General features: G+C 39.0%; 1 protein-coding gene across 8 annotated transcripts in view, besides 1 other annotated feature; it reads left to right on the forward strand.

Annotated features, from left to right (window-relative positions):
* MACROD2 (mono-ADP ribosylhydrolase 2) overlaps positions 1–26,381 on the forward strand; it is a 2,057,682-nt gene that overhangs the window by 1,848,532 nt on the left and 182,769 nt on the right. For 5 of the 8 annotated variants that reach the window (NM_001351661.2, NM_001351663.2, NM_080676.6 and 2 more), the window contains one exon: positions 18,698–18,779. In NM_001351661.2, coding sequence (NP_001338590.1) covers positions 18,698–18,779 — 82 coding nt within the window. Of the gene's footprint in view, positions 1–18,697; positions 18,780–26,381 lie in introns of those variants that run through there. The other 3 variants (XM_024451834.2, XM_017027675.2, XM_017027676.2) reach the window with 1 other exon arrangement.
* Positions 5,367–5,536: an enhancer, noted in NCBI's record as "experimental_59806 CRE fragment used in MPRA reporter constructs". NCBI's record gives its function as "activates a minimal promoter by MPRAs in K562 erythroleukemia cells, with activity observed for the non-introgressed 20:15830144 variant allele {active_cell/tissue: K562}" and the evidence as "EXISTENCE:reporter gene assay evidence [ECO:0000049][PMID:34662402]".

Genomic DNA, 26,381 nt, shown 5'->3' on the forward strand with positions numbered 1-26,381 from the left:
ATGCCTGCACATATATGAGTAGCAAAAATGTACATTTCTTAAAGAGAAAACTGTGAATAGGAGCAGAAACCTAGAACATGTAAATGTTTTGCTGCTGTTGCCAATAAAGGGACTGACAGAATCACTCAATGAATCAACTGACTAGGACTGCATTTGGTGACATTATACAAATTCCCTAGGAGGAGCAGGTCTGCCAAGAGTTATGAGAGATGCTATGGTAATATAATTATGAACTCCCTGCAGTCAGGAAGCTTATAATCCAGGTGGGAAATGACGAACACATAAAATGTCATCATCAACCTATCAAACATCCTTTCTTCCCCTGGGTCCCGGTAACTGCTATCATTTAGTGAGCATTTGCTGTGTGCTCAACACAATGCAGACATTAATTCATTTACTCCCCCAGATAGCCTAGTGAGGTAATTGAACATGTAAGCCCCATTTTTACGGACATGAAAACTGAGCTTTAGTGAGGTTAAGCAACTTGCCCAAGATTATGCAACTAGTAAGTGGTGACAGTGGGATTTGTAAGTAAGCTCCCAGACTTCACCGTACACCTAGTGTTGTACTATTTATGAAGGGTCTTATCTTTTCTGTCCAGGAAAGTCTCCTGGAAAACAAGACAATTTCTGTCGTACACATCCTGTGTCCTTCTCAACCCCCACCATTGTTTGCAGAATGAATGTATACATTCAACTTAATATTTATTGAGTGTCGGCTCTATATTTGATACACAATGGCACATAAAAGGATAAGGAAAACTACAAGGCAGTACAAAAATGCCTCATTAAAGACCAGGATGCATGCCAGCTGCATATTTTTTTTTATCAGAAATATCATGATGAAGAATAGCCTTTTTATAGAAAGCATAAAAATATGTTGCAAGAAGGTTATTTTATGAAAATAACATTAAACTGTAATTGACAATTACCTAGAAGATTCATAAGTGGCATCACACTTCATGGCAGTCTTTCACATCATACTCTAGTCAGCTAGTGAAACAACTGCTGTTAAAGTCAAGGTTTTGGAGGTATACTGAGTTGAAGAGTGTGTTCCCCCTAAATTCATGTCTACTGAAATCTCAGAATGTGACCCTGTTTGGAATAGAACCTTTGCAGATATAATTAGTAAAGTTGAGGTCACGCTGGATTAAGGTAGATCCTAATTCCAATGACTGCTGTTCTTATAAGAAGATCACCTGAAGAATCTCTGATCACCTCCATAAAAATGTCCAGGACTGAGGAATACTCCCTAAAAATTCTGATTCTCAGCACCACTTCAAACGCACAACTCATAATATCTATGAAGACGGTCAGTAACTAGGATGTTTACTAAGCACACTAGAAGTTTTTTGCTCATTACAGTTTGAAAACTATGGCTTTGGGCAGGATGAAGATGTAGAAGACGTAGTGCCTTTCTCTACTGGGTTCACCTTGATCAAGGAAATGAGTCGTGGAAAGCAGCATAGCAAGGAATAATCTTACTTGTGGCAGTAACCCCCTGTCGAAGTACAAAAGAAAGAGACCACCATGAATGGGAGCAAACTAGATAAGTGTACTAAGAATTCACAAAATTTTATCTTGGCCTTCAATTTCAGTAAGCACAGCAATCTAAACATGTCCAATAATAGTTTTGCATGCAGACCAAATTAAGCCTTGATAAGAGTGATAGCTACCATATTTTCAACAGTTGCTATGTGATAATTACTTCACACACATCATTTCTTTGAATATTCTGGACAACCCTACCCTACAGTATTGGTCTATTATTAGCCCTATTTAACTAATGAAAACAGAGTTTAGAGAAGTTAAGTGATTCACTGGAAGTGGCCAATCCCACACACAAAACTGTGACCAATGAAATTTAAGCCTATTCTCTTGATCCGAACCTCCTCTCCCACAAAACAGAACACCTCTTTTTAAGCCATGTGGCCTGTCTAAAACAGGTTTTCCACGTGGACTGGATAGACTTGAAGTCAGAGAGTAAAAATGTTATTTCTTCTAGGAGCTTCAATTTTATATAAACATTTAGGGTAAGAAACACTTTTTATCCTAACATAGGCATAAACATATAAATAATTGGGTAGAATTGTAAAATATGGAATGCAGTTTTAAAATAAAAGATGTATGTTGAAGGAAACTTTGCAATTGACCAGAACTTCTCAGGCTATCCTCCATGAACTGGAGTGTGGAAGGGTCCCCATTTAGAATATTCAGCCTTCGAGGATACTTCATGGTAAACATTGTGAAATAATCTCATAGGTTCCCTCACTGGTTTTGTCCCACACTAGACTGCTTGGGATGTCACAGACTTTCATTAGTTGCTTTAATTAGTTCTTTTCAATTGATTCCTGTGTTAGTTTGCCCCACCCCTCCAACATAGTCTACAAAGTGAAGGCAGCACACACTTTTATTGACTTGAGACAGCAGCGATTTTCTCTCATCTAGTTATCCTGACCTTTCTTTCTACTGCATTTTCACTGTGGGTGGCAATGATGATATGGCTTTAGTCCATTTTTGGCAGAACAAAGGAATTTCCTGGTTGGACACCAAAAGGAAAAAACGGTTTTTCCACGACTAAGCAGTATCAAGAATATGCCATAACAAGCCTTACGTAAGCCATGGCTCATGCAGTCTAGAGCCGTCCTGTTAACCAACTCACACCCACTGGCTAGAGAGAAAACATGGCGAAATGTCAGAGCTGCTAACTGAGATAGAAAACATACAGGCTGCCACATGACTAGAACATATGGTGACCCAACATGGCAGCAGCGAGACCCTCGGCATCAAGAAAAAACAACAAAATAACTCCTTAAAAACAAGGGCTTTTTCTAAAGTGGACCTTGACATAGTCAAAAAAAAAATTATATATATATATATATATATATATATATATATATATATATGGCTTCTTCACATCCAGGTTCCCAAAGATGTAACTTAGGAACTAGGTACATTTTAAATAATTTGTTGTCCAGAATGTATCTGTTTCACAACTCAGAAATTAAATTACATAGAAAAAATAGAATCCTTCTTAAAGTTTTTCAATGAATACATCATCAGTGGATCTTTCCAAATATTTTTTACAGCTGTTCACAGAATTAAATTTTAGCTTTCTTCTCCTCAACATTTCCAAAAGTATAACGTAGAGGATTGGTTTGTTTTTAATGAATAAATCATTCGGCTAAGCCCATGGAACAAATTCATACTTAAGGTAGATGGTTTAGAGTGGACTTTCGGCAGCATTATTTTAGGAATGTATCTCTCTAAGCAATTGAGTGGTGACTCTAAATTGTGCCAATATGCCAATTCCATTTGCATATCTTTGTAATTTGGACTCTTCCTCTCCTGCTGAAAGATGGTTGGATAAAACATTATTGGATACAGCACAAACGCAAATAAAGCATCGTTTTCCTGCTGAAATGCAAACCAAGGCTTTATTTTGACTGGCCTTAAATTTTGACCTGTAACTGGCATTGGAAACATCAGTGAAAACCGAGAAACAGCCACTGCAGCATTTAGCGTCACAGATGCTGGAGCAGAATCGAGTTTAGAAAATAAACTTTTAAGGGATTACAGCAGCAGACGTTATATAACAAGATTAGTATAATGGGTGGGACATCTGTTGGCTGTTTTCAGAAAGCCATCATTCTATTACCCTCTACTAAAATAATCTTAGTGGATACCTGACTGTTATTGTTCTTTTTTTCCATATACCCCCAGTGAGAAAGGTTGACATTTAGTTGACATTTCTATGCCGTAGTCTTCTCTTCTTTCTTTTTATGTTTTTGTTTTTATTTGGTTAGTTATTCTTTTGTCATTGTTTTAATTGTTCATTTTGCTTAAAAGGGAAAAAAAGACTGTCTTACTACAAAATTAGTATCATAATTGTTTTTTCTCAGTTAGTGTTCAGGGTGGCTTTACCTTACACATAGGAACCAACATACCTCAGAGTATAGCAGAGAAGTGTTCAATAGCTATTAATTGTTTTCTTTCCCTTTCCATTCCCTTGAGAAGATTTTGATATTCATAATAAATGTTGTTTTAAAACATAAAGCTTATAACACTGAATTTTACCTTAAGACTATAATAGCTGAAGGAGAAATTCTTTTGGAAGTTAAAATATGTTGAAACATCTGTATCAATCACTCTCTCTCTCTCTTTCTCTCTCTCTCCCATGCAAATGTACCAATACACCATGCATTCTGGCTCCATGCCACTAAGTCATGATTTTCCACCTGTAATGGATTCCCAGCCCCCGTGCAGGATCTGGTGCAGTGTGCCGAAGAGAGGCCAAAGTCACTGTACAAGCCAGGGGGAGGGGGGGGTCATCTTCCTCAAGGATTAGTAACGATTAGGAAGAAAAGCATTGTCTTTATATACAGCCAAGCATGAATATTATAGATACTACATTACTAAAAGACCATGTGACAAAACCCAAATTTAAATAAAATTTTGTAGGGGGCATTTTGGGCATCATCCCAAGTTCCCGAGGGAGACTTAATAGCCCTCAGGAATATTTGCATATAAACATTTGAAAAGCACTTAATTAATTGATAAGACCACTGGAAGTTGTGAGTTCAATTTTCAAAATATGAAGCAGACAATGTTGTGGAGGATGGACAACCTACAGAGGGTAAGAGGGAGGAGAGGAAAAGCTATTTCTTCCGCAGAGAGAAAGCCAGGGGGCCCATGTTTCTACCTTTTTCCTCAAGTGGTCTTTCCTTTTGGGGTCCCTAAGTCAGTTAGTAGTCATAATTAGGTCACTCAGAGCCCACTGATACAGTGGAGAGATATGACAGACCTTTTCTCATATCCTCCAGTTGGCTACACTGATTACAAGCTGGAAAGATGACTAAAAAGGGGTGTCTCCTCCAGGGATCTACCGTCTAGCTGAGGGGCATGTTCCTCTATCTGGCATTTAAAGAGAGAGATGATATGAAATAGCTACAAGTTCATAAAGATATAAAGCGACAATCAAAGGTTTGGAACAGCTCATGCGTGTTGGGGGAGGTAGAGGCTAGGGTGGCTAATAGGAGAGGCACAGATGTAACTCACCATTTTCCTTCCTTTCTTTTATGTTCACACATGCACACACACACTCACACACACAGCACTGTTGCCACCAGAATGCTTTTGGTTTGTGCTTTCACATTGTAGAGGACATGAACCTATGGAAAATTACTCAAGGGAGATTGTTCTGTTGAGGTTTGCCTTTTGAACGAAAAGATTCTTTCTTGCAGGAGTGGGAGGGACATCAGCTTGAGAAAAACAGCTTTTGTCCTCACAAAAATGCTCTTTTGGAAGATATGTTAATGAGCTTCCTTTGAACTGTAAATGGCATCTGCATGCACGTCAGATGCTAATGGAAATGTCGAGAAAACGATAAGGCACAGGACGATTGCACGGTTATGCAGTGGGCCCCGTTCCTTCGAGCATCGTGACCAGGCTGCGGAGCCACCTTGTGACTTGGCATAGCATTCTCATTTTGAGTGGAGATTTTTGTTTCTCCCACTGATGGCATCTTTTGAAAGTCAAGATGTGTTGGCTTTATAAAGCACTATCCTCCCTGGGCAACCTCATAAGCAGCAATGAATGACAATTCTTCCTTGAAATTTTTAATTACTTCAACAAAGAAAGTAATTATTAACTTTTGTCTCTGAACCACCTCTGCAGATATTCTTAATCAAATAAAAGAAAGAGGAAGCAGAGCTTTCTGAGAAGCAGGAGGATGAAATAGACAATAGGGGTCTGCAGCTGGATTGCGGGGTGACATGAGCGCTGCATGTGTGCTGGATAAACAATGGCTCCATGGTTGGAAGGGTAATTTCATGTCATAGACTAGATGGCGAGGAAGAAGTTTGAGTCAAGAGACCTATTCTTGGCACTGTCTTCTTCGTGTAAGGGTACCAAGGGCACCATGGGAGTGATGGCAAAGTATAGGCAGCAGCCCGTACCTTATCGGAGTGAGAAGATGAATTACATTGAATTAACACTTGATAGGCTGAATGTTGAGAGATGAAGTGGATATCTGACCAATTTTCTCCTCACCTCTTGATTTGGATTCTCCCAAAAGCAGACCCTAAGACAAGAATTAGAGTGCAGGTAGATTATCTGTGGATCATGCAGAGGTGAGGAGAGTTGACACAGAGCATGCCACCAAGAGCATCACCCTGGGAAACCAGGCATTTATCCCTCTGGAGAACTCTGGGATCTCTCCCCCAAGGGTGATCGAACAGGGGGATTTAAACATCAACTCCCGTCAGTCTTTGGTTGAGGCTGCCAGGGTGACAGGCATTAATTTTCCAAACTCCAGCTCACTAGATATTTGCTCAGAGCCTGCCAGCACTATGAAAGCCCTCAGGCAAAGAAGTGCAGGTGCTTGGCCATTGTCTGGCTCACACTTACTACTTAGACCCACGGGAACATGAACAGGGCACCTCAGTGCTGCCACACCTCCAGACTGTGTGGGCCCGCTTATCTTTTATGGATTTGCTAACAAACCATCAAGTAATCCATTTCTCACATAGAAGGAGATCTGTAACTCTTATCTAGAAGGATCTACCTAGCATTAGGCAAGATAGACATCTGCAGAGATGTGTCTTGGCTCTGGGTGGCTTTGGCCATGTGAGATTTACCCTCACAGCTGATGGCAGTCACTGCACGGTTGCCCTCGGAGCCAGTTTCCTGTCCTTTGAACAGAGTCCACAGAGAACTTTGAGAGACACGTTTCCCAATGGTCAGTGTCGGATGGGGCCCCAATCTCAACAAATCTGTTGCTGTCACTTTGTTAGGGTTACATGTATAGCGTATATTGACTTCAAGTGCTCTTTTACAAAACAAGTCCTGACTTCTTACCACTGGTCAGCCAAATGCTAAATATGGTCACTCCTGAAATTACTAGTAAGCAAGGAGCGGGTAGCAGTCACTGTTGGACAGAGCTCAGGTGGCCGGCTTCATGTGTGATTGGCTGCTGCCACTCAGAACGTTGGAAATGATGGAAAAAATGGGCATGGGAAGAAAAGAATTCAGATTGTCAAAAATAGAGCGTTATTGTCCTAGGTCAAGTGTCCATGGAAGTAGACTGAGAGGGGAATTGCAAGTAGGAAGTTTATCGGATTATGTTCCTGAATCATACCTGGGTGGAGAGGAAACATGTGAGAAGCAGGGTTGGGAGAAGTTGAACTGTGATCCGGTCACAGCAAAGGCTTCGGCTGATCCCAACAGGGGCTCAGGAGTGGGGAAAGTGTCTTAGTCTACTCAGGCTGCCATCATAAAGTACCACAGACTGGGTGGCTTAAATAACAGAAATTTATTTTCTCATAGCTCTGGAGGCTAGAAGGCAAATATGAAGGTGTCAGCAGGGGGCATTTCTTCTGAGGTTTCTCTCCTTGGCTGGCAGATGGCCATCTTCCCCCTGTGTCTTTACATGGTCTTCCCTCTGTGCATGTCCGTGTCCAAACCTCCTCTTCTGATGAGAAAACTTGTTATATGGGATTAGGGCCTATCCCCGTGACCTCATTTTACTGCATTACTTCTTTCAAAACTCTGTCTTCAAATATAGTCACATTCTGAGATACTGGGGGTTAGGACTTTTATGACTGAATATGGAGGAGACACACTTTGGCCCAGAATAGATGGCCCTTCCGAGCTGCATCAAATTGAGGGAAGGGGGTCTGGGCCTTGAGGCTACTCCGTGAGTCAGTCATTGGATGCAGGCTGACTTCAGGAAGAGAGAAGCAGCGTGGGTGAGGTGCCTGCTTCAGCAGAACACAGTCCTCTGAGAGCCACTCCTTGGAGCTGTCAGTCACCAGCACCTCCAGCAAGGGAAGGATGATGTGCATTGTCCTGAAGGGAGGGGCAGCCACCACGAGCACACGGCAGCTTCCTCTTTAATCGTGAAAAGAAAGCCCATTTTTTATCTTTGACTGGCATTTCCCCTCAGTCTCTCCCAGGATCATCTCTTTGGATACAAGGGCAGAACAGGTCATGCTTGCTGTGCTAGAATATAGAACGGCAGGCCCTAAGCCTGTGTGTGTGTGCACGTGTCTGTTCCACACTAAACATATGGAGCAGCTTCAAGGACCACGACAGATGTGTCGTTTGTGAAATTTTGATCAATATGAGGCAGGCTCGGAAATTAACTTGTGTGAATGAGCCTCCAGCTCAAGCCAAAATAACTCTTGGCTCCTCAGATGCATGGCCATTTTTCTTATTGAGTTGAAGAAAAGTCAAGAAGAGCAATTTATCAAAACAAAACAGGAAGATTCTGAATTCTGCTGCCACAGAGTAATGACAGATATACTGGCTTTGCAAAAAAGCCCCCCAAAATAAAGGATCCTTTTTATGCCCATAGAAGCAATTTTAAAATGCAAAAATGTACTTTGAGAGTTTGTGGATTATAAATGTTTTCCAATTCACCCAAACATCTCTGGGAACATGGGGAGAAAAATTTTCCCATTCTGTAATTTGGAGATTGAAGTAGCAGGTTCTGTGGTGTTGTGCACAAGTGCGAACATGGCTAATACTTTCACGAAGAAGAACAATGATATTCGGTGACATTTGACAAAGATATTAAAATCTCAGAATACGGACTCCTATGGGGTCTTGTGAAATCTTTATCCGTTACACCATCTCCACTATCAGCTTACCTGTTTCCCGTTTATCTCATTGGCTGATATGACCAGACAAAAACAGAGCTGCTTATATATACCATGGCCTATTTTCATGAATGTTTCTTTTAAGATAGAATTTCTCATAACCAGCCTGGGCAACATAGCAAGACTCTGTCTGTACAAATATTTTTTAAAAAATTAGCCAGGCATGGTGTGGCACACACCTGTAGACCCAGCTACTCAAGAGGTTGAGGAGGGAGGACTCCTTGATTTCAGGAGTTCTAGGCTGCAGTGAGCTATGTTTGCACCACTGCACTCCAGCCGGAAGGACAGCATGAGATTCTATCTCTAAAATAATAATAATAATAGTAATAATAACATGATTTTCACTATAACAGATAAAAAAGGTGCCCCTGATATTCTCATCTGGCTATACCTCGTCTTAACCTGGCTTACAAGGTCAGGGTAGAAATAAAGGACTCAGCAAGTGAACACTGATTTTATTTCCATGCCAGCACCAGGGTAGGTGTTTTAGGTACCTTATGAATAATAACTATGCAAACAAGCAACTGATGTTTATGGAGCATTTACTCTATGTCAGGCCCTTTGCTGAGGACTTTATGTAGAATTTCTATGTGGTCATTATAATCAACGGTGGCAGGCAGGATTCTAAGATGATCTTTCAGATTCCTAAGTCATGGTGTACACAGACCTCCCAATTTTCCAAACCATAATACTGTAAAGGGATTTTGAAGACGTAATTAAGGTCTCAAATCTTAAAATAGGGAGATTATCTAGGTGGGCCTAACTTCATCACATGAGTTCTTTAAATTTGGAACAGATGTGGAGGAAGTCAGAGAATCAACACTGAGAAGGAGTTGACATGCCTTTGCTGGCTTGAGGATGGAGGCAGAAATATGGCAAGGAATGCAGGAGGCCTCCAGGAGCTGAGCTGTCCTCCAGCTGTCAACCAGCAAGGAAATGAAGACCCCCATCCTGCAACTGCAAGGAACTGAATTCTACCACCAATGAAAAGGAGTTTAGAAGTGGATTTCTCTCCTGAGCCTCCAGACAAGGGCTCAATTCAGCTGACACCTTGATTTTAGCCTGTAACACCCTGAATAGACAGAACCCAGTCATGCAATGTCAGACTTTAGACTTACAGAACTGTGAGCTAATTAGTAGGTGTGTTTTAAGGCACTAACCCCCAGAGGTCAATGTCTCCATTTTAGAGATGAGCAGACTGAGGCTTACAAAACTTAAGTAACTTGTTCAAGGTCACAGGTAAATGGTAAAGTCAAGTAGGGACACAGGCAGCTGCTTCCATGGAGGGAACTGCGTGGGAGGCTGAAGTTCAAAACAGCCTCCAAGATGCCAATATGATCGCCCCTAGGTGTGCACATCTTGTTCAGTTTTCTCCCCTTCAGGGTGCGTAGAACCTTCAAATATGATGGGGTAGTCACTCTGTTGATTAGGAAAAGAGATTTCCACAGAGGGAATAAAGGTATTGAATCAGTCTGGCTAATTACAAACAGGTGGACTTGACTAATTAGGTGGGCTTTTAGAAGGAACGTAGAGGTGGGAGGTAGAGAAAGTGATAGAGGCACACTCTTGCTGGCGTGGAAGAAAAAGAGCGCTCGTGTCCTGAACTGCTTTGGGGACCATATGGCAAGGAAATGCAGGTGGCCTCTAGAAGATAAAAGCCATCCCTGGTCAACACCTAGCAGGAAAATGGTGACCTCAGTCCTGCAACTGCAAGGGATCAAATTCTGCCAAAAGCTCTAATGGGCTTGGAAGAGGATTCCAAGCCTGAGGTGAGGACTCTAGTGCAACTAACACTTTGATTGCAGCTTTTGAGACTCAAAGCAGAGGACCCAACTAGGTTGGGCCTGGACTTTCAGCCAACTGTGAAACTGTGAGATAATAAAGTGTTGTTGTTTTAAGCCATTAATTCTGCGGTGATTTGTCATGTGGCAGCAGAAAACTGACATGCTGGGAGAAGAGCAGATTGCTCTCTTTTGCCTCACTTGGTGGGAGAGGAGGGACTAGGACCCAGGCACCCCAATTTCTTGTTCTTAATTAATCTGTAGTGATTGCTTCCCTTTGCTGCTCTGTTTATCCCTGAGTTACTCTGAGTACTGGGGAAACTTCACTTATCCTGGTCCTCCAACCTCTCAAAACCTGTCTTTGTACAAATTTGATACTTAAGCTTTGAAATTTAATTCACTTATTAAGCAGCAGCCACTGTTTTATGAAATCATCCCATCCAACCCTGCACTGGTGAGACTGTTGATTTCTCTTTCATGAAGGCTGGGACTTAAGCCCAGCTGTCCATCAGGCTATATTTACCCAGGATAGCCCTCCATCAGTCCTCAGTTAAAGCAGCATTTGCATCACACCAGATCTCTAAATGTTGGTTGTTGGGGAAGCAAATTACATTCATCAGAATCCATTCATTCTCCTCGTATCACTGAACACAGGATAATCTTGGCTGTGTCAGCTGCCCTATGACTGGTGGCTCTGAAAAATGGAGGTTGGCTGCAGATACTCCAAACCTGCTTCGCTGTGTCACCCTCTTCAGGGCCAGTGGATATGATGCTGGAAAAGATTAATGGAACATATGTCATCACATTTATGGGGTAGGAAACCCCCAACTGTGGATTAATAGATATCTTGGTGAAAGACATACATCTTTACTCCTTTATGCCTCGATGGGTGAGCTACAGTTGGCTGCAGTGAAAATACACAGAGAGATTACCTTTAGGAGGTCAGCTTGTAAAGGACTTTTTTCAACCCTGAGGTCAACAAAAATAGATTTTTGATTGTTGACCAAGAGAGCTGTAACATAGGACTTTTAACCTTTAAAAAAATTCTTATTGAAGTATAACATACAGAAAAGAACACAGTTCCTGAGTGCACAGCTTGATGAATTTTCACAAACTGAACACATCCAGGGAGCCAGCATCCAGATCAAAAAACCAGGATCCCAGGCATTTCCCTAGGTCTCTTTGCACCAACCCTCCACCCCAGGGTAATTGTTACATTAACTTCTAACTCCATCGATGATTTTGCCTCTTTCTATAAGGTTTTTGAACTTTATAAAAATGAAATCATCCAGTGTGTCCTCTTTTTTTTCTGGGTTCTGTTATACAACATTATGCTTGTGAGATTTGCCCGTATTATTTTGTATGGTTATAAATTTTTTGTTCTCATTGGTTTTTAATATTCCATTATATGAGTACATCGTAATTTATCCATTCTATCATTTATGGACATTTAAGTAGCTTCCAATTTGGAGATATTGCAAATAGTGCTGCTATGAACATTCTAGTGTGTGTCTTTTGGTGAATATATTTGTAGGTTCTACTAGGTATCTATGTAGGAGTGAAATTGCTAGGTTATAAGACATGTACATATTCAGCTAATTTACTATGTACTGCCAAATAATTTTCCAAAGAGGTTTCCAATTTTTATTCTCAAAAGCAGTCTATGAAAGTTCCTGTCAGTCTATATCTTTGTCTTATATCAAGTATAAGACAATACTTGATATTGTCTTTTCATTTTAAAAAGCTGTTAGTTTTTAATACATCCTAGTTTAGAGGGCATCATTGTTGCTACTGTGAAACGATTAAGCACTCTATATGAAAACTGGGCTGAAGAGCCATTGTACTCAACATAGTATCATTGGATAAGATGTCAGTTGGTGACAATAATGCCTCATGCCCTTTATATAGTGCTTTTGTTTTTCTTTTTTATAGAGTGCTTTGCAAAACCATCTAGGTTTCTCTGTATTTCTGTTCTCAGCTCTTCTGGCAAACTTAAAGGAAAGTCCTCCGAAATATCTTATGTTTTTGGTTCTAGAACTAAGTACCCTTGAAAACTATCTGCCACATACCTACATTTTAGTCAAATCTGTTTGTCTAAACATATACTCTGTGGATATTTACAGAGCTCCTATTATGTGTCAGGACCTATGCTATGCACTGGTGATGCAAAGATGAGTGCCACCTGATTCTTCATGAGGTTCCAGTTTAAGACATAAAGTGAACTGTCAGATTGTTAGTTCTAAAAATATTAATGTTGTTTTTTGTATTATTTTCTATTACATTTTAGACTAGGGAATCATCTGAGTTTATTGACAGCTTGTTCATAAAAGAGCAAATTATTTTAAATATACAAAGTTGCTTTAATTACAAGCGGGGATGGAAACTTTAGGAAGTTAACCAAGAAGATGGGCCGGGACCAACAAAAGTTCATCGAAAAAGAAGTAATTGGAATTTGAGAAGCCTTGACAGATTGCACACCTGTAACAAAGAACATTGTTATTCTTTGTACTTCATTGCTCTTCTCTACATAATATTCACTGAAATGATATTGAAGATTACATCAGCTGGAGTTAAGTCAGATAAGCAGAATCCTTGAATGATATGGGTTAATGGATTTATTGCAGGGATTAGATCTTATACAATTGTGGGAGAAACTGGGAAAGTAACATTCCACAAGGGGATGATTGACTGAATAGAAAAGCTTCTAACCGGGGCCCATGGAATGGAGCTGGTGAAGATGTCTATGGAAGTCCCTTGCCTGTCCATCTGGACAGGGCCAGAAGTATGTCAGCAGGGCAGATGATAAAAGAGGAAGTAGGAAAGCTGCATGCAAAGCGGGAGAGAACAAAGACAAATGAAAGTCACAAGGGAAAACTGGAATCCACAGAGATCCACAGGCCCATATATCTGTCTCTCACTGATTGGAACCCCAAAGCTGTGATGTCCTGCCGAAGGATCCAGTGCTCTTGCTGCAGAACTTCATGTGGGCCCAGCCCAGCTCCAAGAACATGTGGCAGAAGAACCATCAAGAACTGGAGAAGCTGTGGGGCCAGCTGCTACTCCACACCCATGTGATAAGCAACAGCATGCATGATCGCCCAAGCCCTGCACCCACCTTCCTGGCACAAAGTCTCTGACTGCACTTCTGCCCTACAAATCTCATGGAAATTTCTCTGTGGCCAGCCCTAACCCAGAACCATTCAGAGAAATGCAACTTCAGCTTAACTAACTTTTGACATAGACTGTAACAGAGGCATAGAAAGAAAGAAAGAAAAAAACTATAGAGATGAGATAATTCCATCTTTTCTTGAGAAAGATGTAAAAACTAGGGTGAGGAGAGATGATGGCTTGTCCGATGTCACAGAACTAGTGACAGGCCTAGAAACTCAATTCTGTGTGTGTGTCTCTAGGTGATATCACAGAAAAAACAAACAAACAATCTCTGGATGTGAGGTTCATGCACTGTCTTTGTATAGTCCAAGCCACTCAAGAGGTTTGCTTGACCCTAGAAATTTGAGTCCATCCTGGCAACATAGCAAGACTCCATCTCTAATGTATTTAAAACATTAAAAATAAATTCTAAAAAAGAAGACACCTGAGTTTTTGCCTTAATTGATTGCTTGGGCCTTGGGAAAAAAAAAATCACTCGATTCCTGGACTCATGTTTTCTATAAGTGAATGGCATATAGGCTAGGCCCAACAAATTGGAAATGATCACTTTATATCTGATGAATAAATGAATGAATACAATCTCTCAAGAACCACTATTTCACAAAATTATTTTACTGCCTAACATTTAAAAAAAAATGAAACAATGCTCCTGGGCCTCAATAGCGAGGCATTCTTATAGGTTCTCATGAAATTTATCTGGGGCTAGTATGGGGCATATGGGCCCTTTTTCCTTTGTACAAGTCAGATTTCCAATCTCTCAGCCATATAACAATTAGACTTTCTCCTCACCCACTGTGACTTCTTTTTTACTTATTCAGTCTGGGCTTTTCAGTAGGAGTCAAGTACTACATAGCTGGAAAAACAAGAGACTCTGGAAAAACAGTTACAGGGAGAAGCTGGAAGAATATCAGATTTCTAGTTATGTATTTTGATGGTTAGCTCATGAATTTGAAATCAGCATTTAGCAGGATTGACCTGTTTCCCGCTGGTGTGACATTAGCTGGGATGGCTCAAAGGCCTGGAGTTGAAATAATCTAAAGTCTACCTACTTTCAGTGAGGGTAGTTGGATCCATATTGTCTCTCTGCTTCCTCATGGCATGGTGGTTGGGTACAAGAGCGAGGCTCCCAAGAAGACCAGGCAGAAACTGTATCACCTCATGGATTACAAAGTTATACAGCATCATTTCTATCATAGTCATAGGCTTCCCAGATTCAAGAGGTGGAATTACAGTTGACCCTTGAACAATGTGAGGGTGAGTGGTGACTATCCCCAGTGCAGTCAAAAATCCATGTATAACTTTTGACTCCCCAGGTACTTAACTACTAATAGCCTACTATTGACTAGAAGCCTTACAGATAACATAAAGATTGATTAACACATATTTTGTATGTTATATGTATTATATAGCTGTATTCTTACAATAAAGTAAGTTAGAGAAAGAAAATGTTATTAAGAAAATCATAAGGAAGAGAAAATATATTTACTGTTCATGAGATGGAAGTGGATCATCATAAAGGTCTTCATCCTTATTGTCTTCACATTGAGTGGGCTGAGGAGGAAGAGGAAGGGGGGTAGGTATACTTTCTCAGGGGTGGTAGAGGTGGAGGAAGTGGAAGAGGAAGCAGAAGAGGCAGGCATGATCTGCTTAACTTTTACTGAAAAAAATCCACATATAAGTAGACCTGTGCAGCTCAAACCTGTGTTGCTCAAGGAATAACTGTAGATCCCATTTCCCAATGAGGGGAGTATCATTATTACACTGTAAGAAGAGCTGTGGGATGGAAAGCGCATCGCATGCCATCTTGGAAGACACAGTCTGCCACAAGCACTGATCAGTACCCATGGTGCATTCATAAACACGGAGCTTGTCAACTATATGAGCTCTTGTTCAACAATAACCCCAGAGAATATGTTTGTGCACGCTTATAATAAATACATACACATATACATACATAATAAGTACTTAGTGAATAAGACTAATTCTTGGATTCACCTTGCTTCCAAGACATTTTCCGTGTTATGCCTAAGGGTAAGGGCAGGGAATTGGGCCACTCAATTAATTTAAACTAAAAAGTGTTTCACTGTCACCATCCCCGCGCTTTTTTTTTTTTTTCTGGGAAAATAAGTTGGGCTGCTGAGTTTTGGACTTAAATCATTTCCATGGCAACAGAGCCTAAATGATAAAAGGCAGATTATAGTTCCTTCCAATATTTGAAATGTCTGTATATGGTCTGCATGGCTGAGGCAGGCAGATCACGAGGTCAGGAGATCGAGACCATCCTGGCTAACACGGTGAAACCCTGTCTCTACTAAAAATACAAAAAATTAGCCGGGCATGGTGGCATGTGCCTGTAGTCCCAACTACTCAGGAGACTGAGGCAAGAGAATCACTTGAACCTGGGAGGCGGAGGTGGCAGTGAGCTGAGATCGCGCCACTGCCCTCCAACCTGGGCAGCAGAGCAAGACTCCATCTCAAAAAAACAAACACACACAAAAAAGTACACTTAGCAGAGAATAACATTGCCATTAACCCCCCATACACAAACACACACTCATACACACTCATGCACATATTTATACACACTCACACAAGAAACATGAGTGTTAAATTTCATAATTTATATTAAATGATTTTAAGTATGGGGGAAATGTGTAGGAATGACACTGTTCAGCCTTGTCTTCTCAGATCTGCATTAAGCCAAATTTTCTTGTTTTGATTTTTTGATCGGTTGGTTGACTTTAGAAATATTCTGATCACGTAAAGCCTGGGGGAAAAAAGTCAACAATCGTAGATACAGAAGTGAGAATAATTACGATCTTTGGAAATTCCAAGTAGTTCAATGTGGCTTGAGAGTCGTTTATGTCTGAGGGAGGATAATGAGGCTGCACAGTCTTATTTTTAATTTTAGGATTTTTGATTATGAAGTGTTTCAAATATATATAAAAGTATAGAAAATATAATAATATGAGAGCCATGTACCTATCCCCATAGTTAGCAGCTATTAGCCATTTGCCATGTTTTTCTCAAATCCCCTTTCTTTCTAAAGGAATAAAGTATTAGGTCTTCAGTCAATTCCCTACTTACCTCCTCCTTTACCTCCCCACCCTCCCCAGAACTCATCATTCTCAAAAAGTTATGTGCGATATTCCTGAGGCACTTTAAATTTTTGGAATGTTTTTGAGCAGACAGCGATTCATGAATTGGGCAGCTCCAAATTGCAGGTGATTCTGGGCTCCACTGAAGGGGCATGAAGGGCTTTTGTAGAGTTGACATGAAAACAAGTCAAAGAAAATATATGATCACTCCAAGTGGAGCAATAGCCTTATTTGTATCATTCCAGTGGAAAGACCCTAGTTAGAGATTAGTTGGCAGTGTATGACTGGCTAAGCTTAAATTCCTTTTACTGTTTACACTTTGGTTTGATTATGTAAGAATCCAGGATGCTTAAGCCACCTCAGTCTAACAGCCTCCCAATTAATTATTTAAACAGTACTTATGAATAGATCCCTACACTCTTGTATCTTTACGTTTTGAAAGTGTGCAGAAATGGTATCAGAGAGTATGTATCCTTTTGCAACTTGTTGCTGTCACTCAACATTATGATTTTGTGCTTTAGCCACAGGACATAAACATGCCATACAGAGAGTGGAGATGAGCATTCACTATTGCACAGTTTACATTTATTCAACTAAATTTAGAGTTCACCTGGGGAATGAGTTGACAATGACAGGTTTAGCATTTATAGAAAATGCTAATGATAGGCAGATAGGACTGGACACCAGACACGAAAGTGAACACAAGAAAAAAGAAATGTGGTTGTTTGTACTCTAGTTGTTCCATTTCCCGTTTCCCTTATAATCCATCCTTTGAAGGCAGTTATAAGGGCTGCATGGTCTTTGATGATTACAGGTTAGAAACTGAGTGATTTTCCAAGAGGCAGTCTACCCTAAGTGAGGTCTAGGCTTGGGCAGAGACTAAGGAGCCAAATCTCTGGTCTTCCGTCAGAAAATGTGATTGTTTATAACCCAGCCCCTACTTCTTGCCCCTGTAGATCTCCTTTTCTACTGGGAACTGTCTTACTAGTGAGATCTGCATCACACAGGTTTGGAGAGCAGGGAGGTTAGGTGGGTGACTTCCATGGGGGTTCTTTCTTGTCCTGCCATGTGTACACCCACTTCCATTTCCTACTGCCACGAGAAACACCTCATTTGATGTTCTATGCAACTTGCCAGTGAGTGCTTTTCAATTTTTTTATGTTGTTAAAACAAAATAACTAAAGGGTTATTTATTTCCAGGACACAAAATTAAGTCACTGATTTAATCAGATATATGTGAGCTATTATGTATACTCCGTGTCTCTTCTCCATTTACTATATTACTCTCTGAATGTTTCCAAGAAACTCTTTACATACAGAAGTTCCCTCAAAACAAAAAAGGGACTATGCACACATTTTACTTTTGAGGTGGCATTTACTTATTCAATAATATCTACAAAATTAAATGTTATATCGACCTTGCGTCACTGTCAGCTAGTTACTTTTTATTTCTGTTGCATTTCCAAGTGTGTTAAATTAAAGCAAGTGGCTTCATGCCAACTAAACTGCATGGAAGCTTTTTAGGCCTTGTTCAAATACTAACAGGTTTGATAAATATATTTGTCTAGCAAGAGTAGGACAATGAGCTCTTTGTTTACTGACATACTTTATTGTCATTCTGCTGTATACCTCTCGTGTGGCTGTTTTATAGGACATAAAGTCTAGCTATCCTGTCGGAATCTCAGATCTTATTTATAGCTTGCTGCAAAGTGGCTTATTGTCATTTATTATTTCTTATTTGATTTATATAGCATCTTTCCACCAAAGAGCCCATAGGTTTATTTATATACAGAGTACACACACGCACACACACACACACACATTCTTACACACATCCTTGAACTTCACTCAATGCTATGATGTAGATAGCAGTATAGAACCAAAAATCTGTATGAGGCCTTTCCATTTGTTTTTGTTCTACGGCTATGTCCTGGCAGGGCAATTGCCATATTTTTTTTCACTTTGAGTGTTTTATCTTTTGCCTCTAGGTGGATCGGATCATTTTCTGTGTCTTCTTAGAAGTTGACTTCAAAATCTACAAAAAGAAAATGAATGAGTTTTTCTCCGTAGGTGAGTAAAGCAACTTCTTGTTTTCTTTCAAATTGAGGATGGAAGAAGTGGAGCCGTCACTTCTATTCCTATTGTTTTTCATCTTCAGGACTGTTACACATGGTGATCCTGCCAACTTGTATCATAGTTTCTAAGAACTGAACAAGGTAACAGAAAATCTAGGCTGTGGAACTCTTGCCCCAAGAGGTCACTGTGTTGTCTTGGGGAAGTCAGTTCATCTCTTGGTTCTCGGTGCCTCACATCAAAACTGAGGGGCTAATTATTAATAAAAGATTTCTAAAGATGCTTCCCCTGGCCTTAAATTGCATGATGTGTGATTCCTTCTCCAACTTGTAAGTTTACCAGGCCCCATGCCTGCATCTACCATGTTAAATACCATTGTTGGAAATTGTAAGCCCATTTATATTCATAGTCAGAATTCAAACTTTTCCTGCATTCCATCCCTATTCCTTCCCAAGTTTCTCACTCCAAATTTCAATGCCTATAGTAGCACTTCTAGTGCAGTCTGAGAATGGCAGTCATTCACACTTCTTTTTAGAAAATAGGAGAAACCTCAGGGTTATTAGAGAACCTTGAGTAATGTATTTACATCGATTGAATGTGCCGTTAGTTGGATTTGGGTAATTTGGATGTTTTTCTCCACTCTCCCTCTTCCAGCCTATTAAGGCTGAGGCTTGTTTAATGCCTTGTTATTTTTATGGTGCCATTAAAGTCACAGTGTCCAAAGTGCTTTCCTTAGCCATGGCAAGAATCGCTTCCAGGAAATTTCAAGCTACTGTGAGCATTGTTGGTACTTGCCTTTCAGAGAGCTTTCTTTTGAGGTTTCTGTCTCCGTCTGAAGTAGTTTGTCATATCACAGGTGACTCTGGCAGGTGGGATGGAGTGAATGAAGGGTGCTGATGCATATTCATCCTCTTAAGCAGTCTATCAGAGCCAAACAATAAAGAGGATGCCTTGCCTGTAGATCAGAGTAGGATGTGTTCTATCCAGAACAGCTGTAGAAAACCAAAAAACCAATGGAGATGGTCAGCTCTCTGCTAATGCCCTAAATGGACTAAGTTCTTCTAAGTAATTTCAAGTTCTTCTCCCTAATTTTATAATTGAAAGCTGGCTCTGCTAAGTGCATTTAATTTAAGGCTTCAACTAAAGTATTCCTCTAACTGAAACATAATGTAAATTCCTCAGATTCCCATGTGATAAAGAAGAGGACTGTGGTTATAATCTTTTTCTCCTCTTCTTTCTCTTTCTCCTCTGCCTCCTTCTCCTTCTTTCACCTTTCTTCATTTTTTTCAAGCATCTCAGTGTTTTACAGAGTGGAAGCACATAACAGCTATTTAATAATTAGTTGTTGAGACGAGTTGAATTAAATAAATTTTTCTTGCCTTAATCTGATGACTTTTATTGTTTCAATGTCCTTGCTCCATTTTTCCTTTTGACTTGCTTTATGACAATATTGAGCTGATTGGTACCTGTATTTTGAAGTATTGTTAAAAGAAAATGCTAATTATATTTTTAAATGTGACTTGCCATGATGTGTGAAGCAAATATTCTCATGTCTTGTCAGTATCACATCATAATTGATAAGATTTTATAAACTTTAGACTCCTTGAGATGTTTGGAAATAATGACATCATATTCATTTTCATGTATTCTAAAATAAAGTCTGCAGGAAGCCATACTAACATAAGGTAAAAAATAATTGCATAATTATGATCTAATTGATATTGAAACAAATATTTCTATCAGCAGGTATTTCCAATGATGCACAGTCAAAAAGCATACTGCAAATTTTTTTTAAAATGAGACAGTTTTAGGAGGGTAAAATATATTAATACTTATGCAAACAAATTATTGTTTGAAAAATTGCTACTTTAAATACATTTTAAAATGCATTGCAGTACATGAGCAAGTGAAATAATAAAATCATCCTCAATCTCACATCAATGCTTTGAAGCACACAGTGCTCATGAAATTATTTTCAGTCCATATTTACAATAGGAAGTACATTTTAAACTAAATGTCAAAATCCTCAAAAATTGTGATTTCTGCAATGTTGAAGCATTAGGTATTTGAAAATTCTAAATATGCAATATGAAATAAGCGTGATGTATGATGGAATGTGACTACTAATATACATAATATACCTTACCTGTCATTAATTTTAACTTGTGTTTAATTCATAACTATACCATCTTTAAATTAGGATACGTTTCTTCCTACTTGCCATGTATTTCCCTATAGTGCATTATTATTCATGATATCTCTAACTAGTGTTCATAATCTTTCCCAATGCAATAATGATAATAGTTTAGAAAAGAAGTCATTTTTATAATCAAACAAAATATTTGTGTTTTGGGGTACTTTAATCCCATGTCTGTAAATTTTATAATTGGGAATCTGAGACACAATGCATGATAAAACAATAAAAGACTCAAAGAGATCATACTAAAGGTATGCCACATGCATAACTACTACAGTTCAATAATAATGGTTCAATGATAATTGCTATTACAGTTCAATAATAATGATTAATAATAATCATAATTAATATATTTAATAACATAACAATAATGGTTACTAATAATTCAAACCTTTTTGAATTGCTTTCTATTAGCCAGCCACAGCATTCATTTCTTTACATGGGTAAATCACTAATCTTCATGATAACTCTAAGAAAGGAGGCACCGTATTAACCCTGTGCTGTGGTTCCATTGTTAGGGTTTTTTCTAATTTGGTCTTAAGGTTTCTCTCTCTTGAGAATGGCCATCAGCCAGGATAGTCACTCTCCAGGAAAGCTTTGAAAAGGGTTGGGGGAAAATTGGGTTCAGATATGTATGTCAGGGGAGACACAGCGAGGAAGTAAAACCAAAATGCACAAAACAGAAGGCATTTATTACTCACAAGTCCCAGACAGGTGAGGGATGCCCACAGGAGACCAACAGGAAGCCTGGAGGTGGCAGGGAGCCCAGCCAGCAAGTGGGCAGCAAGAGAGAGCAAGCACCTGGGGGCTGTCTTTATTAGTTCTGTATGCACCACCCCTTAGGCTTTCCCATGGGGGTTGTGGATTGGCTAGTTTAAAGAAAACACTCAGGAAGCAGGAACTTACTTCGATGATTCTGACACTATTAGATTTTTACCATGATCAGCAGTTGTGGAGTATATTGGGTTTGGGGTCAGCTGGATGAGGAACAAGTGGAACATATCACAACTGATCACACAGGGAGGGAAGTTTAAGTAGGCCAAAGGTGACAGGATACAACTGGGTTTCAAACAACTTATGTCAGGCCTAAGAATGGAGGCTGGCCAGGCACAGTGGCTCATGCCTGTAGAAGGAGGATTGCTTGAATCCAGGAGTTTCAGGCTAGCCTGGGCAACATAGCAAGAACTTGGCTCTACAAAAAATAAATAAATAAAAATTAGCTGAGAGTGGTGGTGCATACATACCTACAGTCCCAGCTACTCAGGAGGCTGAAGTGGGAGAATCACTTGAGCTCGGGGATTTGAGGCTGCAGTTGGCTATGATTGCACCACTGAACTCCAGCCTGGGTGACGAAGCAAGACCCCATCTCTAAAAAATATAAATAAATAAATAAATAAATATTGTAGAGATTTTAAAACCAAAAGGAAAAAAAGAAAAAAAAATGGATGCCAAGGCAGCAACTATATGAAACAAATTTATGATACCCTATGTTTTAGGCATGAAAAACGAGGATTCAGCTAGGAAGCAACAGAGCTGTATTTTAAAATTGAGATTGGCATCTGTCATTGCCCAAGTGATAATAGGTTCGTTTTCTCAGAGCATCTTTAGAGAAGGCTGAGATCAACTTCCAGGCTGCATTTGGAGTATTGGGGAAAGTCCCATTTCATCTGCTGCCCATCATTTTTCAGAGATGCCATGCTTCTCTTCTTCTAGTACCTATAAATACCTTCATGGAAACTTCTAATATGAGTTGAATTAGTACTTTTATCATTCATCTCAAAATTGAATTCCATTCACATTATAGAGGTATTGTGGTGCTATTACCTGCAGATGAGCAGGTAAGTGGTAAACGAGAAGCCCAAAGGCCTTTATAGCATCTACAGGACAAGATGGAAAATGGCTTATATTAGTTTGTCAGGCCTCTAAAAACAAAGTACCACAGAGCAGGCGGCTTAAACCACAGAAATACATTTTCTGATTATTCTGGAGGCTAGAAGCCCAAGGCCAAGTGGAGGCAAGATTAATTTCTTCAGAGGCCTCGCTCCTTGGCTTGTAGTTGGCTGTCTTCTCCCTGTACTTTCAAATGACCTTCCCTCTGAGTCATTTGTGCTGTATCTTTCTCTTTGTATAAGGATACCAGTCAAATGGGATTTGGACCCACTCTAATTACCTTATTTTAATTTAATTAGCTCTTAAAGATCCTATCTCCAAATACAGTCATATTCTAAGATATGAGGGTTAGGCCTTCAACATAAAAATTCACAGGGCACAATTAAGCCCATAAAATTGCCCCTTGTAGAAATGCTTTAAGAAACTCCAGGGAAAGAAACCAGCATCGAATTTTTTTTCAACAGTTTTATATCTTGCTGTGGGGTAAAGCACATTTGACTTTTTCCTTCCACAAGTATTATTTGAAAGTAGAGTGTGGCAGCTTTATGGAATTATCATACACTTTGGTTGCAAATAATTTATAGTTACAGTGCACCATTACATGGCCTACAGCAAATAATATTTGTATGATTCAACTCAGAAATCTCTTTGTTCTTTACATAAAAGTGCTTGTATTTTTTCAGTGTGTAGAATTTATTGTGTGCAGTTTTCACTAGACGTAAAAAATTAAAAAAAGAAAAGAAAAGACAATTCCCGATCTGGAATGTGGAAGTCATTTTTTCTTTTTTTTCTACTAGAGTCTTAGTCCTGCTAGAGAACTGAAGGATATTAATTTTCCCCGTAATAACAATAAAGAACATACGGTTTATAACGGTATTAAAGAATCTTGACGTTGGAAGCTTAAGACTTGTCATGGTAAACCCTCCTTCACTCCTCCCTTTAGGAAAAACCAACCTTTGTTTACTGCAATGGTTCTCAACTACGAGCGATTTTGCCCTCCTGGGGACATTCTGAGGCATTTTTGTTTTTCACAGCTGAGGGATGGGAGAGGTTACTGTGCTCTAGTGATTAGAGGCCAGGGGTGCTGCTAAGCATTCTACAGTGCACAGTACAGCACCCTCCACAACCCTCCAGCAGATAATTATTCAGCCTTAAATGGCAATAGTGCAGAGGTTGAGAGGCTCCATCTGCTGGTACTGTCTCTTACCACTCAGGCCATTGCCGCAGTCTTTGCCTTTGGATTGGGGTTATTTTACAGTGTTTCGACTGCTGATGCTTTACCCATAAGTAACTATCTAGCTGGATTTGGAACATGTACCCTCAGCCTGGTCTCTGGCTTCCTGGATTCATGACCCTCCTAGTCCAGACTTCTGGTTTTGCACCCTCTCTGTTCACTCTGTACCCACAGATTTCTATATCTTGACCTTTGTTAACCACATACACCTGCCACCCAACCCCTACTCTCCAGGTCCTCCTGCCACCACCCCACTCCTGGTATCATTTATCTATTACTGCCCATGAATCTAGAGTAATAATCTCAGAAAATATGATCATTACATAGGTTTTATATATCTAATAAAAGTGTGGAACTAAAGGCTAGTATACAGAGCAATGAAGAACAAATTCACTAATTATTTTCTTTATATACCTTAAGCAAGTTTCATTGCTTCTTGGGCTAATACTTTTCTTTTTTTTTTTTTTTCATTAGTTTGGTGACCATTGGTTGATAAACTTACCTTGTGAGCTCACAAAATATGTTTTAATTTTAGATACCTTCAACCCCTTATCATTATCTGCATAGTAACTGATTCATTCACAATGAAATCACCTATGACTGAAAAAACTACCAACTACTATTTTTTAAATTTGTTTTTCAGAGTCAGGGTCGTACTCTGTCATCTAGACTGGAGCGCAGTAACGCAATCATACTGATCATAACTCACTGCAGCCTCGAACTTCTGGGGCTCAAGGGATCCTCCTGTTTCAACTTCCTGGGTGGCTGAGACTACAGGCACACTCCACCATGCCCAGCTAATTTTATTTGTTTGTTTGTTCTTTAGAAACATGGTCTCACCATGTTGCCCAGGTTTGTCTTGAACTCCTGGGCTCAAGTAATTCTCCTGCCTCAGTTTCCCAAGTCTTTGGGATTATAGGTGTAAACCACTATGCCCAGCTCTAATCTCTTTAATTTTTTAACCATAAAAACAATTAAATTTGTCAATTTTGTTTCCAGCTTTGAAATTTATATAACGTATACACAATACGCATGTCAACTTTACTTAAATGTGATTAACATATATATATATATATATATATATATATAGAGAGAGAGAGAGAGAGAGAGAGAGAGAGCAATGCTGGGAAAACTAATAAGATAGGAAAATTAATTGCAGGATATCCATGTGCTCATCCCAAACCTGACACCTGTTTATAAGAGGAAGATTTTATTTAAGATGAAAAACTCTATTTATGTCTATGAAAATAATTTTAAAACTATATTTAAAAAATTAATAGAAAAAAAGCTAAAATATTCCCAATGTTCTTGACATAAATAGTAAAATAATGAGCTATTTGACCTATTAATATTTGGGACATCTATCTGGTACAACATAAAATGATAAACCTTATAAAATTGCAAGAAGTTTGTATGCCTTAAAAATGAGCTTGCAAAATAGTAGACATAAAACATGTATAACAAGTGTTTTGTAGTTAGAACTAGGTAAACTTAATCCATAGGAGTTATAAGTTTATAAATTATAAACTTTACTGGAAATGTTTTGTGGTCTTAAATACAGATTTTCTTTTTGTATTATATATAACATAAAAGCATATAGATGATAAAGTAAAACCCTAAGTCAAGTTTGAGAATTATATCTCGGGAACTTCTTGAATATTTAACATATCTCAATGTCTAGCTAAAATGCATACATTTTATTTCTCAAATATTGACAGACATGTTATTAATTCACTTTACTTGAGTACGTGAACATATTTAGGTTACATGTATTTTACCTTCTTAGATACAGATAGCACTGAGAAAGTGTAGCTTTGCATAATCATGATAAAGAAAATTCTAAATTCATATTTTGATAATAATTTTTAATATCTTAAATGCATGCCAAAATTTTTAAAACGAAACAAATCAAGAAACTTCTCAACCACGTTTCACTTATTTTGACCTCCTTATAGTCTTCCAAACATGTAATAAATATTATTGATATGAATATATCTTTCGTTTATTTTCCCAATCATGAATTTCTGCCATTTATTTCTGTCTAAACTATACACACTCCTGCAAGGCAGCTTTAGTTGGGTTTTATATTATTATTATTATTATTATTATTATTATTTGACCTTTTTATCTTGATCTCATCAATGAAAAAATAAGTTTCTGGAGAACAGAAATTATTCCTAATATTCCATTGCCCTTTCAGAATCTGGAAAATTCTAAATATATAGTAGGTGTTTATTAATGTAAATAAAAACGTACCACGAACCTAGACTGAAACTGC

This window comes from Homo sapiens, chromosome 20 (genome assembly GCF_000001405.40).
Source record: "Homo sapiens chromosome 20, GRCh38.p14 Primary Assembly".
In the NCBI taxonomy this organism is placed as follows: Eukaryota; Metazoa; Chordata; class Mammalia; order Primates; family Hominidae; genus Homo; species Homo sapiens.